At 40.1% G+C, this 14,435-nt stretch overlaps 1 protein-coding gene across 4 annotated transcripts in view, besides 1 other annotated feature; it reads right to left on the reverse strand.

The window, feature by feature from the left end:
* Positions 1-14,435, reverse strand: part of EFHC2 (EF-hand domain containing 2) — a 195,801-nt gene that overhangs the window by 112,749 nt on the left and 68,617 nt on the right. For all 4 annotated transcript variants that reach the window (XM_047442535.1, NM_025184.4, XM_006724562.3 and 1 more), the window contains 2 exons: positions 12,066-12,216; positions 455-678 (listed from right to left, as the gene is read on the reverse strand). In XM_047442535.1, coding sequence (XP_047298491.1) covers positions 455-678; positions 12,066-12,216 — 375 coding nt within the window. The remainder of the gene's footprint in view (positions 1-454; positions 679-12,065; positions 12,217-14,435) is intronic.
* Positions 13,563-13,857: a silencer, noted in NCBI's record as "tiled region #13194; HepG2 Repressive non-DNase unmatched - State 24:Quies". NCBI's record gives its function as "represses a minimal TATA promoter and a strong SV40 promoter by Sharpr-MPRA in HepG2 cells {active_cell/tissue: HepG2}" and the evidence as "EXISTENCE:reporter gene assay evidence [ECO:0000049][PMID:27701403]".

The raw sequence follows: 14,435 nt of genomic DNA on the forward strand, positions 1-14,435 counted from the left end.
CCTGGAATTTCCTAGGAGGAAGAAAAAATGTGTACCCAAGGCTTGCTTCACTAAATCACTAGTATAGAAGCAAAGATCTTTCTAGCCAGAGTTAGACAACTAAAAAGCAAAAACACAAGCCAAGGAAATGTGGATACAACTCATATACCATCAGTGACCACAAAGTCAATTGTGGGTGCCTAGAATCTGTCTCACCTGTGCAGTTCACTGAAGACTCCTACTGCCTGAAAGAGAGAGTCTCTACAGAGAGAATTGGGGTGAGGCAGTGAGGAAGTCATTCTTGCTCTGTGGCTAACACTCAGCCTTCCCTCTAGCCCAAAGAAGAACAAAACTGGAATAACTATGGCTCTAAAAGCTCTTTCACATCTGCATCAGGAGTACAAACACCCTTTACTGACTTTCCAAAGGGATTTTTATTTTGAAGACAAGAACTCAACAAACGTCAATTCCTTACCTCTCTCCGAATCTTCATGTAAGGATCTTCTGGACATTGCACTGGGGGATTCACTTTGACCCCTATTTTCCTCAAAAAGTTTCTTGTGAATGCATCACAGTCATAAATCTTGAATGTCCGGCCATAGAAGACAACCTCTGTGCCGACATTAAAATGATACACAGTATAAAACTGATCCTCATCAGGAGGCGGAAGAGTAATCCGATGACGCCGGATAGAAGTCCCTATGGCATGAAAGAAAATACAACTGTTTTATCATGTGGCTAACAAGTAAGAAGATACAGCACATTCACTAACAACCCTGAATACTTTCCCGCAACAGAAAACTGGGCAAAGGACTCGTTCTAGGAAGCAGCATTAGTACATTCCAACTCTGAGGAAGTCAGAATGAGCTGAGATTTCTGAGGTTCAGAGCTCTGTGGCCAGCCTTGCATGTGGTTAGAGTTGCCTAAGTGGTGCTTGGGAAGTATTTTAATAAACCATAAAGACTGGGGTGAGGATGGGGGATGAAGGACAGGGGACATAAGCAGAATGACGAAAAATACCAGACGCTGCCATCATGTCTTTTCCTAGAACAAGCCTGCTCACATTCAGCCACCAGCAAGCACTCAATGTGAGCACACTCAACAGGCATTAAGGCACCAATGCAGAATGCTCACAAAAATGTGTACTCATGGCTCAAAAAAAAAAAAAAAAAAAAAAAGCTAGTAAGCTTTGGAATGATAGGTGCCAACATTGACTTAGAAGTTTCAATAAGGATGAATCACTTTTGGCTGCTGTGAAGTTTCATGGAATCTTCTTTCCTCTATCAACCTATTTTTCCTCCTCCTTCCTCTATAGCCTCTGTCCACCTCCACCCAAGCACTACCTCAAGTGAGGGTTATCAGAGGCTTCACAGTTCTAGCCAGTGCTCTGGGCCAAAAGCTCTAGATCTCATCCCATCTTCTACTTCCAACCCTGATGCCCATTCATTTCTCCTCTTGAGAATATGTTCCCAGGGTCCCACGTATATCCAAAAGAGTGGTCAGCCACTGGAGGTAAAAGAGTTCCTTGCCTACATGAGTGTACCAACTATACCACACCATACCAGCCAAGTTACCCAAATATTGCTGCAATCTGTTGTTAAGGATTGTTTAGGGGCCAGGCATGGTGGCTCATGCCTGTAATCCCACCACTTTTGGAGGCCGAGGCAGGCAGATTGCTTGAGCCCAAGAGTTCGAGACCAGCCTGGGCAACATGGCAAAATCCTGTCTCTACAAAAGAAAAAAAAAATTAATTAAAAAAAAATTAGCTGGGTATGGTGGTGCCCACATGTGGTCCCATCTACTTGGGAGGCTGAAAGGTGGGAGAATTGCTTGAGTCCAGGAGGTCAAGGCTAAAGTGAGCCATGATCACACCACTGTACTCTAGCTTGGGCAACAGAGCAAAGCCCTGTCTCAAAAAAAAAAAAAAAAAAAAAAAGAAAAGAAAAGAAAAAGAAAAAAGAATTTGAAAAAAAGAAAAAAGGGTTTGAGATTTTATCCTACTTGCAAGATGAGAAGTTAGCCTTCCATAGTTTCATGGATGCTGGTAGAAGACAGGAGGTGCCTTGGTCAGAGACAAAAGGCAGTTTATTAATCAACAGCAGTAAGAATAGCCTAAATATCAGCATTTCTTTTTCCAGTTTCCTAAGCCCCAATTCCCACAGGATGACATAGTAAGGGCCAGGTAACATTTGTACATGCAGTGGGTTACATTACAGGAGAGTAACCCTTAGCTTAGGGAACCCAAATCTTCTATAATTAGCAATAAGCATCCCTGCTCTTTATCTCCAAGGGAGCTACTATCTTTATTAGACTGGAAGGAGACACTAAGCCTCTATCTTCCAACGCTATAAGCAAACCTATACTTTGCTCCAGAGGGAGAGACTATTTTTGTCTTCCACAGCTACTTGCTATATAAACATCCTTGAAGAGATAGTCCAGAACAAAGAGAAGTCAGTGCCTCTGCTTACAAGAGATACAGAAATGCATGATACCATGGAGAATTGTCTCTCAATATCTGTAACTGACTTAGGCCTGAGAATCTACTCCAAGAACAAAGAGAAAAGGAAAGCAGAACAAACTGCAGATCTAATGATTCAATAAAAATTGGCTTGTGGGAACTCTGCATGGAGGTATTTTAATATAAAGATGTCAACCTATCTTCTTTGTATTTTATACAGCACTGAAAATGGTGCCTTTTCTCAAAGTCTAGAGACACTTAGAAATTAGTCATTGCTTATTCATTAAGGAATATTTAATGAATATCTTTATGTGCCAGGAACTGTGTTGGGCTCTCTTCCATTATTCTACTTATCATCTTTTCACTCTGTTGAGGGGAAATTACCTAAAATCATTTTCAGCTTCTTTTCTTTGCAGCAATTTTTAATTACTTGGTGCATTAAATTAAAATAATAAAACTATAAAATTAGAACTGGCCTAGAATATTTTTAAATGTACTACATAAAAGATGATACAATTTTACTGTGAAAAAATTATACTTCAATTAGCCTTTAATTCATAGCACTGAAAACAGTATGCAAATTATTTAATCATTCAAGATTAGACATTTAGAACAAATTGCATACTTAAACATGTATAAAAGGATGGGCATTTCAGGTATTTTCAGGAACCATTATATACTACTTTAAAAATACTTATATTGTGACAGTTTTTAAAATATATAAGAATTATTCAACAGTCAGGAGCTTCTTCAAAAATTCCATCTATCTTGCATTTTTACTTCATTATAGAAATTCAAATAAGCAAGTTAGCGATGATTTTTGTTCCATAAGACTTTGAATAGGAGTCCTATATTTTTCTAGGTGGCAAAAACTGGCCCACCCACTGGGCTTTTAAATAATACTAATCACAATCATCATCATAGCCCTAGGATAAACTTTCACTTACATTTTCTCATTTAATCCTCAATAATTCTATAAGGCAGATAATACATGAAATATGAATATTCAGTTTAAGGATGAGAAAACCAAAGCTCAGAGAGGTTAAATGCCATGCCCAAGGTCATGCCCTAACAAATGGCAGTAAAAGATCTTGAAGTTGGGCTTTCAGACTCTAACTAAATACCATTACTTTCCATAGTTTGCACTGAGCTGTATCTCACTGTACTGCAGCTACATATTACTTGAGGAGGAAGAGCCATAGGCATAACAGGATGGAAATGGATAAAAGAGCTACCAGCCACCATGAAAAGAAAAGAGAGATGAAGCTGCTCTTCCGAAAGAACAGCCTCTCTCCTCGAAGGGGAAATTTCCAGAGATGCCCACCCACTGCTATGGCAATGCACCCTGCAGGGCCTGCCCCACCAGCTGACTTGCCTCTCCCAGGAGCCTGCAGATCTCAAGCCCCCCAACTCTTCCTTCTCTTAGCCGCTACACTTCTCTCACTAGATGCTTCTCAGAAAAGGCCAGGGAAGCTCTTCTTGGTGACAAAAAAGAATCCTGAACACCCATGAGTTAGAAAGAAAAGGCAGGTCTAACACTAACAGTAAAGTTTTGATAACCAAAAATCTAACGTCACAATTCCATATTAATCAGAAAACCAAGGTGGGCCATTTGAAATGTACAGTTGCACATGAGAGCTTTCAATAACATATTCATAGGATTTCTCAACTGTGTCCTTTGAGAATTAAAATTTCTAATTATCAGAATTTTTATGTTTTTAGTCTTCCACGATAAATGGCAGAAACTCCATCAGCAGGAATTTGTTTTGGGATATCAAAGAAATGGGCAGGATACCATGTCCTTGACCCACATTGAAGAGCAGGTGAAATCATCAAGGTAGATAAATAAAGATATTGTTACAAAACAGAAAAACAACTAAAGCACCATATTTGCCCTTTAAATTTTCAGGAGTTTATCTTAACTGCCCAATAAAGACTATTGGGACACATGTCCAGCTTTTCCTCATCTTCATGTTTTACATTTCTCTTCCTTTGTAAAAGCCCTGCTATCTGGCTATGCTCTTCAAGCTTTAACTTTCTAACATTTCCCTGTGGTTTAGATCAAAGTGACCATATATCCATTTATGTTTCATGTGTTTTCATGTTATTCAGTTGAGACTTGCCTTAGATCTTTGCTCATACCACTAAATTTACTTTTCTGGAATTCACCTTCCAGAATTAAGACTCCAAACTCTCACCTCTATTTTATTTTTTATTTATTTATTTATTTTTGAGACAGGGTCTCACATCATTGCCCAGGCTACAGTGCAGTGGCATGATCATGGATCAATGCAGCCTCAACCTCCCAGGCTCAAGCGATCCTCCCTACCTCAACCTCCCGTGTAGCTGAGATTACGGGCATGGCCACCACGCCTGGCTAACTTTTTATTTTTTGTAGAGACAGCCTTGCTTTGTTGCCCAGGCTGGTCTTGAACTCCTGGACTTAAGCAATCCTTTTGCCTCGGCCTCACAAAGTGCTGGGATTACAGGCGTGAGCCACTGCACCTGGGTCACCTCTATTTTAATTTAAGTATGTTAATTTCATTTTAGTAATGCTGCAGGCCTAGAGTACATCCAAGTCTAAAGGCAGATATTTCTTAGGTAAATGAAGATATAACTGCAATTGCCACTTATCATCACATCTACAAGTTTGTGCCCTAAAAATACTAAGAGGCTTAACCACAATCACACATAACAGAGTGTCTTTTCTTCCTCTTGTGCTTACTATATTCCTCTACTAAAATGACTTGTATACTTTTACTTTTATTTTTCTAAAATGTCACCTTTAGAGTTTCGGTTTCACAAGAATAATTATTTTTATATACACAACCGGGCACTCACCTTGCAGCAAAAGAATAAGAAGTTAAAAATTCCACATTTCTGCTCACAATAAGAAACAGTAACCCTACGCATCTCCCCCTTAGCTATTGAAAAAGCACCAAAATAACAGATGCTTTAATGTCCTCTTGCATGACCACCTTCTTGCCCTGTTTTCCCTATTCAATCTATGATCTGCTCCCAAATACTTCCCAATTTATTGTCCCACCACTTTATCTCATGTTGCTCCTTTTGACTATTCTGCCTTTCTCTTCCATCTTTATCTAGAGAAACTTTTGAGGTACCATTCAAATGCCAGATTCTCTAGTGGATATTGGCTTTTCCTCCTCTAATCCCTCAAGTACCTGGTTCTCTCCCCAGTGTCCACCCTCTAGGGTGACCAGATTTAGCAAATTAAAATATAGGCTGCTCAGTTAAATTTGAATTCCAGATAAACAACAAAGAATTCTTTTTTTTTTTAAATTTTTTTAATTTTTTTTCACCCAGGCTGGAGTGCAGTGGTGTGATCTCGGCTCACTGCAACCTCCGTCTCCCAGGTTCAAGCAATTCTCCTGTCTTAGCCTCCTGAGTAGCTAGGATTATAGGCATGTGCCACCACACCCAGCTAATTTTTATATTTTTAGTCGACGAGGTTTTGCTATGTTGGTCAGGCTGGTCTCAAACTCCCGGCCTCAAGTTATCAGCCCGCCTCTGCCTCCCAAAGTGCTGGGATTACAGGTGTAAGCCACCATGCCCAGCCAAATTCTTTAGTATAACTATGTCCTATGCAATATTTGGGACATAATTATACTAAAAACTTCATTGCTTACCTGAAATTCAAATATAACTGAGTATCTTATACTTCATCTGGCAACCTTCCCACCACCCCTCCACCACTTTATGGGATATAATACCTATATATAGTACATGCCCAATAAGAGTGAATGGCATATGAATGACTGACTTCTATTTTGTGTGATTACATTTGCCTGATCAAGCAGATTATCTTAGAGTATTAAAAAATATATATATGAGAAATACTACCTTATTAAGGGGCCAAAACAAGTCATTAGTGGAAATCAGTGTTCTCAACCAAGATGCACTAAGAATCATAGGGAAGCCAGTTCTTGACCCCATGTCTACAGAAGAAAAAATTCTGGGGTGGGCTAGGAGATTCTGAGGATCACTTTCAACTGAGAACAACTGGTATAGACCATACCAGAAAATCACGGCACATTTCTAATCATTATCCTTTCTTTAGCACAGATTAGGCTGGACTTGGTGTATTTAACTGACAATTATTCTGTTAGACAATTAGAGGTAAAACTACTGGATTAACCTCTGACATTCTTGGCTTGATATAATGTTGTTTTAACTACATTCCAGCAGAAAAGCAACACGTTCTGTAAATATAACACATCTAACCGAAAAGAGAGTGATGTCCTGGCAAGAAATGAAAGCAAGCCTTGAAGTGCAATACTGGCTTTCTTGACTCATAACACACACAAATCTCCTTGCCAACAAGAACTTGTGAATATTAAAAATATGTTGTTCTGATTAGAAGCTGCATGAATGCCTATTTTGGTACCATGCTAATGGATGCCTCTTTTGTTTCTGGCTGATTCCAAACTCCCCCCACCCTAAAAAATTACATGATAATAGAGGCAACCAAAAGGGAGCAGGGGAGGGTTATAATTCCTCCAGTTGCACTAATTTCCAAATGGTCACACAAGAAACAAGTGCATCTGACCTCCAAGTTCATCTAGAAAATATCAAAATCCTATGGAAGTGACAGGAACGCCATCACTGCACAGCACCTAATCTTGACCATTTGCCTCTTCCCAGGGCCCAGATGCATGGAAAGCAAGCCCGGGCCACTCAAGTCACAACTGAAAGAAACACTACCTACCCTGTCCCACTGACGTCTGAACCACTGGCTCATTAAGTGTTTTCTTTTTTCCAATCACTTAATTTAGAAAAGCTTGAAGAAGGCATTTAAATGATTTTTCAAACTATCTGCAGTCCAAATAGACCTTCCTTAACAAGAATTATCATATTAAATATTTCAAGAGACTGGTTTCTCTCTAAACAAAGCTTGGTGACAGAGTGGTTATTCATGTTTGCTTTCTACAGGATTTGCTACAGCCTTCCAAATTTCTCTACTCTGCTGACAAATTCAATGTCATTACGCAGCGTGATTACTGTGTATTCTATACACAACTCTTGAGCTGTGTCTTCACACAGGGAAATGTCCTGACCACAGTGAGCCAATCAAAAATTCGGAAAATTTCCAGAGACTTTAAAGTTGTCTTTTACTCAGGTCTTTTTTTTCTGAGACTTTATGATAGCATTCCTCCCTCCTTACACAAGAATGATTTTCAAGTACATCATTATGACTATCTTCAGCTTGCCTTTGGAATCTGCCTATGTGAGATTTGAAATCAAGAGTCTGAAAGAATTGAGAAGTCTTAATAAAAGCCTTTCCAAGATTCTAAAAGAAGCTACATTTCATATTTCTTCTTGGATAGTTTAATAAAACTAAGATGAACTGGACAGGGGCCAGTGAGCTATAGGATTATGAGCTTTCACTTTAAAGGTAATAATGAAAACAATAATGCAAGTCACTAACCCAGGCCTGGGGTGTCCTGTGACCTCCAGTCTATCATTTGTGCAAGTTTGGTGTCATGGTGGGAAAGTAATCAGAAAATAAGCAGAGCTTAGTGAGGGAATATCAGAACAAAATGTTTAGGTGAAAACCTGTAAGAAATTTTTTCTTTTTGCCACAGCAATACTATTATATAATCAAATACACGTAAGTAAAATAGATGTCCACAAAAATTATAAATTGTAAATTCTTTGTTCTTAAATAATCTTCAACCATTTTCTAATGCATTCTTGCCAATCTTTAAAAACTGCCTTATATGTTTTAAATGACCCTAAAGAATCTAAAACCTCTTGTCCCTTTGTAAAATAAAATGTCATACTTTTAACCTTAAAATTTGTGAAAACCTGTTTTTAAAATGTTATGGTATTTCCATATTTCCTGAAAGATTTACCATTAGGCCAAATTCACCAAATAAAATGGCCAGGGAGTGGATAGTGTATCAGTTGGAACACAAAGAACAATGAGGACAGTTCATATTACCTCCTCATACTAATCTTCGTCTTTTCCCACCACTAGTAAAACCAAGCAGAGACACTAAATTGAATTCCCTTTATCTTTCCATCACCTCACCAGTGGCTCTCCTCTAACATGGTAGAATAGCCTGGTCATGATCTGGGCACCTCTGATTCCCAATCTCCATTTCTAGTCTTGACTTTTTTCCTGAAAACACATCCTAAGTTTGTACCTGCCTGGAGGGGCATCACCACACAGATGTCTAACACCCCTTCAAAGGCCTCATGCCCTGAAACACACCCCAGATTCAAACCCCAATCCTGTTTCTTGCTCTGTGCTCCTGGGCTTTATAAAGGTATCATGACTCAACCACAGAGACCTCTGAGGCCGATATAGTTTGGATATTTGTCCCCTCCAAATCTCATGCTGAAATGTGATCCCCAGTGTTGGAGATGGGGCCTGCTGGGAGGTGTTTGGGTCATGGGGGTGGATCCCACATGAATGTCTTTGTGTTGTCTTCGCAGTAATGTGTGAGTTCTTTCTGTTGGTTACCGTAAAATCTGATTGTTAACAAGAGTCTGGCATCCCCTCCTTTCTCTCTTGCTCCCCGTCTTGCCATGTGACACGCCTGCTCTCCTTTCACCTTCCACCACGAGTAAAAGCTTCCTGAGGCCTCACCAGATGCAGAAGCTGGTGCCATGCTTCTTGTACAGTCTGCAGAACTGTGAGCCACATAATCCTCTTTTCTTTATAAATTACCCAGCCCCAGGTATTCCTTTAGAGCAATGCAAAACAGACTGAGCAAATTACCTCCCTAAGCCTGTTTCCTTTTCTGTAAAAGCTGACAGTGACAGTAACTACTTTAGATGGTCATCAGGAGATTAAATGAGATAATGATAAGGTAGGCACTTTTTCATTAGATATTCCCCCTCCTCACTCTCTGTATTTAATCACTGGCCAATGCATATCAACTCTGCCAACCAAATGTCTCTCAAATCCTTCCCCAATTTTCTATTCCTACCATCATTGTCCTGGTTTGGACACTCAGCATTTCTAGCCTGAACAATTGCAAAACTCTTGGACTGGTGGCCTTGCTCCCTTTCCTTTCCAATCTGGTGGCCTATTATTACTCCATGAGATAGGGCTATGATGGGACTCAGTCCTTTTGTCCATTTTCCCAAAACATAGCACAGTGCCTGACACAGAATAGGCATCCAACAAATACTTCTTGGCAATGCTGGCTGGCTCCAAATTCATTATTCCAACCACCAGACACAATGAAGCCATGCTCTAAGAAAAACCTCAATCTCATGAGCATTGAAGGAAGTCCTCTGCACACTTAATGAGGTTGCATGACAACCTTATTCTCAGAGCCCATGGCCCTCAAATCCCTGCTTCTCCCCCTTGAACTCATTGTGGTATATCAATACAGAGCCCTCAGGCCTAGATTAGTAATTAGTAAGCAAAATTTGTTCAGCATAGGCAGAAATCATGAGATGTGTTAAATAACAATAGGTAGGTAGGTATGCTAAGTAGAGCATGGGCATGTTAAACATAGAAAGAAAGGGATGGAAAAACCAAAAGATAACTGATTTTCAGTAGGTCGTAAATATACATGAGGCACCTGGACTCTAAATATTCATGATATGCTAAATATATAAGGACACTAAATATTCATGAGCACCCAATATTTATGAGGCCTCAATTTGGCCACTCATTCATCGGTGACACCCATTCTAGCCCCATGTGACCTCTGCCCAAGAAACACAAACAAAACCCAAGACTATCCAGCAGGCTTATTGACAAGCTACAGCCATGGCCAGGCACACTTCTCCCTGCATCTCCCCAACAGAGCAAGTGTGTGCCCTCAGCCCGAAGCCCCTTCTGTCTGTGGTTCTCCTTGCTTGAACCTCAGTTCTGGTCTCTAAACCATACTAGTAGCAGGGAAGGTTAGTGAAACAGAGACAGAACCATTGCTGACCCCAGGATTCAGGCAGTATGGTCCTTCTGCCTACTTGTACCCTGTCCCAAGTGTGTGAACCTACCCTATCTCTTTCCCTCTTTCTTCTCATCATGTGTTTTAAATTACTTTAATGTAACATGTGATTCATGCATTTTAATGTGATCCATGAGCCTTCTGTTTTGTGACCTCTGGGAGAGCCTGCATGTACAATTCTCAAAGGCCACCACTGTATCCAGGTAACATCCCACACAACACTCTCCCTGCTGCATACAGAACAGATTGTAGGAGGAGCAAGAATGGAAACAGGGAGACCACGTTAGGCAGCTATTCTATTCCTCTAGTCAACAGATGAGGGTAGCTTAGGTGAGGATGGTAGTGAAGGGGATGGAAAGACATGGACATATTCAGGATATGTTTTTCTAGGAGAGTGAAGAACAGGGATGGTAGTTATGAGCAAGTAGGGAAAGTAAAAGGAGTATATATTGTAGTTAGAGAAGACAATTTCAGAGACTGAGATACTGGAGGTGGCAATACTCTAAAAGGCAAAGAAACAACAACACACCCAAGAATCAGCTCGTCAAGGAACTGAGTACCCTGAAAGGTCATTTACACCAGCAACCAAACAAACACTCAAATCCTCTCATACTTCCAGCAGGCTGTCAGTGAAAAACCACCCCTGACCTGCCCCCAGGGCCATCTATCTACACGAGGGAACAAACAAATCTGTGACTCTCCTCTCCTCCGCCCCTACACCAGACCCCTAACCCCAACCCTACCCAGGTCCATTCCCTATAACTTCTAGCAGCTCTCTGCCAGAAAGTTCTTCCTCTTACTGACCTGAACTCTGACCCCTAGGTCCCATCCATGAACATAAAGAGAATAAGGTCACCCCTTCTCCACATGACAGCCCTTTAGATTCCTGAGGACATTTATCAAGCACACTGGAGTCTCCCCATTACAGACAAATATCCCTTTTCACTATTCTGTCTTGCACATGACAAATGTTCAGTTCTTTCACCGTCATAGTTGCTGTCCCCTGAAGTCATTCAGAACTCCGCAGCATCCCAAGAGAAGGACCCACAGCACAAACAGAAGAAATCAGTCATCTCCATTGATCTCTGCCATACTTAATGCAACCTAGGATTAGCTTCTCTGGTGGCCACATCACAGAGTTAACTCTTATCTGTGGCTGAGAGGAGTATGGACAAAGATGACTGGCATACACAGGGTGAAGGAACAATGACTCTCTGGTGAGGTACCATCGAAGTCTGTAGTTAACAGGTATGAGGATGAGGAGGGGGTGGTTGAAACAAATGACAGTAAATTCAAGAAAGAAGAGAATGCCAATCTGGAAGCTGCAGTAGAGAACAGCTTTCTCTTCTCCCCTAATGGTGTTGTGAAGGAAGTGATCTGCTCACGGCAAGGCGACCAAAGGGTTTGAGGAAAAAGTCAAAGGCACAGGAGAGTTTACTCATACCAGAGCAGCACCTGAAAGGATACAAGTATGCCACGGAGGAGTGAGAGACCCAGCCAATGTTGACATGCAGAGGGTAGAAAGCTGGTAAGTCACAATCAATAACTACACGCTAATGGCATGTTTATATTCACCACTGCCAGCAGGTTAGACAGCCTAAACAGTAGCATGCAGTCTTTTGAAAAGCTAAAGGCAGGCAGTATATAAAGGCAGGAGTCAGAAGTGAAGGAACCATAACTCTGCTTTAAATAGATACCTTGAAGTAATCCACTATTTTTCACCTCTGGTTCATTTACTTGAATTGTGTCATCTTCAGGGTAGAAGTAGATTTTATAGTATCTTATTCTGTAGTTGGTTTGGCTTTTATCAAGTACTTCCTCTTCCAAATAGGCATCAAAAGATAATACCTGTTGGAATAATAATTAGAAACTAAGAAATGAAAAGAAAATTCAGCAAACTTAAAATTAACAAAGCAGCTGCCTGTATACTTTTTGTTAATATAAAGAAAAAAGTAGAGAGAATTTTTCCAAGAACTCATTCTACACATCAGCCATGCGAATGGATATACAATCTAAGATACAATACATAAAGATTATTTAATACTTTTATCACCATCTGGTTAAAACAAGGAAATGATATTCAAGTAATACATCCATCGTTCAGCTCTACCATAAACTGAACTAGAGTCTGCCTTTGGGATTTCACAGTGGGATTCTAAATGTATATGTTATAGAGACAAAATATTCTTTCTCACAAGATGAATAAGTTTTGTCATTTTTTTCCCATTAACAATAACACAAAGCTGCCTTGGTTCTGGCATAAAATTATCCTGACTGTTAGTCCTGATGATTGCTTGCCTTCAGGCAATTCAAGCAGGCATATCTGAAATTCATCCAATGCCCTGGAGACCCCACCTTACACTTCGGGAACCTCAAGGAGCCTAGCCCAATGCTAGACTCAGACTCATCTTGTATGGGGGCGGTAGGGAATAAGGAAGGGAAGGACAGGTGGATTCTAAAGCAGTTATGGTAAAATTCAGAGATAGTCAAAAATATCTTTGAAAATTCCTTAACTACTTTAGAAAACTGTGCCTCTCAGTAAGTAAAACACAGCCCATTTTTCTCCCATATTGAAGCAGATGACTGCCTGCTTCTTCAGTTGAAGACCAGTTAAAATCATTTCTTTATGCTTAGGTGCCATGTTGTATGAATAATATATATCTTTAGCCATTGGAAACATTCTTAATATGGCATCCTGCTCACACACTGAGCACGACAAGGTAATTGAGGACAACTGTGGGAAAAGTAGATTCAGGCTACCATTTCAAGCTTGACCTGCGGCTCAAGCTCTGTGAGAGCTCCATTTAAATATTCTCTTTGTCTCTCACTTTTGATCAATTTTTATAATTGAAGTTGCAAAACTTAACTGTGCATATGATGTAACTCCAGGGTTATTCAATGTGGACAATATGATATATATGAGTGAGTCTGTTAGATGCAATCTACCCTCTAGGGGTGGTGGTCAGTTAACCTAAGTAAGAATATATACTCCAGGAGTGTTTAGCATATTTTTATCAGAAGCCCACACTTCAGAAGTGGCTAACAGAATGCCTCAGTAGCTTTTTCTTTGATCAACACAAGAAGCTTTGTCAATTGCCATAAATGATATTAGAATAAATTTTAGTGAAATGATTGTATTCAAAATGCACATATCAGTTACAAATACTAACCAGGCACTGTCCTTACAGGAACAGGTTATAAGAGTCTGGTGAACCCAGAGATCTACTCCCTTCAGGATGGCACCTTTGGCTTCATTCCCAAATAGTCCTATGTTCAGCTGCTTTCTTAAAGAATTTGTCTGGCCTGACTCCAATTAGGTTAGCTAAACCCCATTGCTAGAATGCTGTCACATTTGTATTGAGTGAATATTTCAGATAAGATGCTGTTGGACAAGTATAGAGTTTCCTTCTGGGGTGACAAAAAAGTCTTGGAACTAGATAGATGTGATGGTTGCACAGCCTTGTGGATATGTTAAATGTCACTGAATTGCACACTTTAAAATGGCTAATGGTTAATTTCATGTTATGTGAATTTTACCTCAGTTAAAAAAAGATATTAGACACTGAGTTGTGTTGGACACTTTAAAATGGTGAGTTTTTGTTATGTGAATTATATTTCAACTTTTAAAAAGTAGGGGGAGGGAGCTGGCTACAGTGGCTCAGGCCTGTGGCAGGAAGATCACTTGAGCCCAGGAGTTTGAGACCAGCCTGGGCAACATAATGAGACCCCGTTTTTACAAAAAAAAATTTAAAAATTAGTCGGGCTTGGTTACGTGTACTTGTAGTCTCAGCTACTAGGGAGGCTGAGGTGGGAGGATTGCTTGAGCCCAGGAGATCGAGGCTGCAGTGAGTTATGACCTCGCCACTGCACTCCAGCCTGGGTGAGAGAACGAGACTCTGTGTCTCAAAAATAATTTTTTTTAAAAAAGGAGGAGGAAAAAAAGATGTTGGAACACCTAAAAGGAGAAAGAGCTGGGGCTTCATCAAACTTTCAGTGTACGTAATATTTAATCTGAGATTTTTTTTTCTTTGTAATCAAGTAGGAAAGTGTAGAGAGAATATTCTTGG

This window comes from Homo sapiens, chromosome X (assembly GCF_000001405.40).
Source record: "Homo sapiens chromosome X, GRCh38.p14 Primary Assembly".
Lineage (NCBI taxonomy): Eukaryota > Metazoa > Chordata > Mammalia > Primates > Hominidae > Homo > Homo sapiens.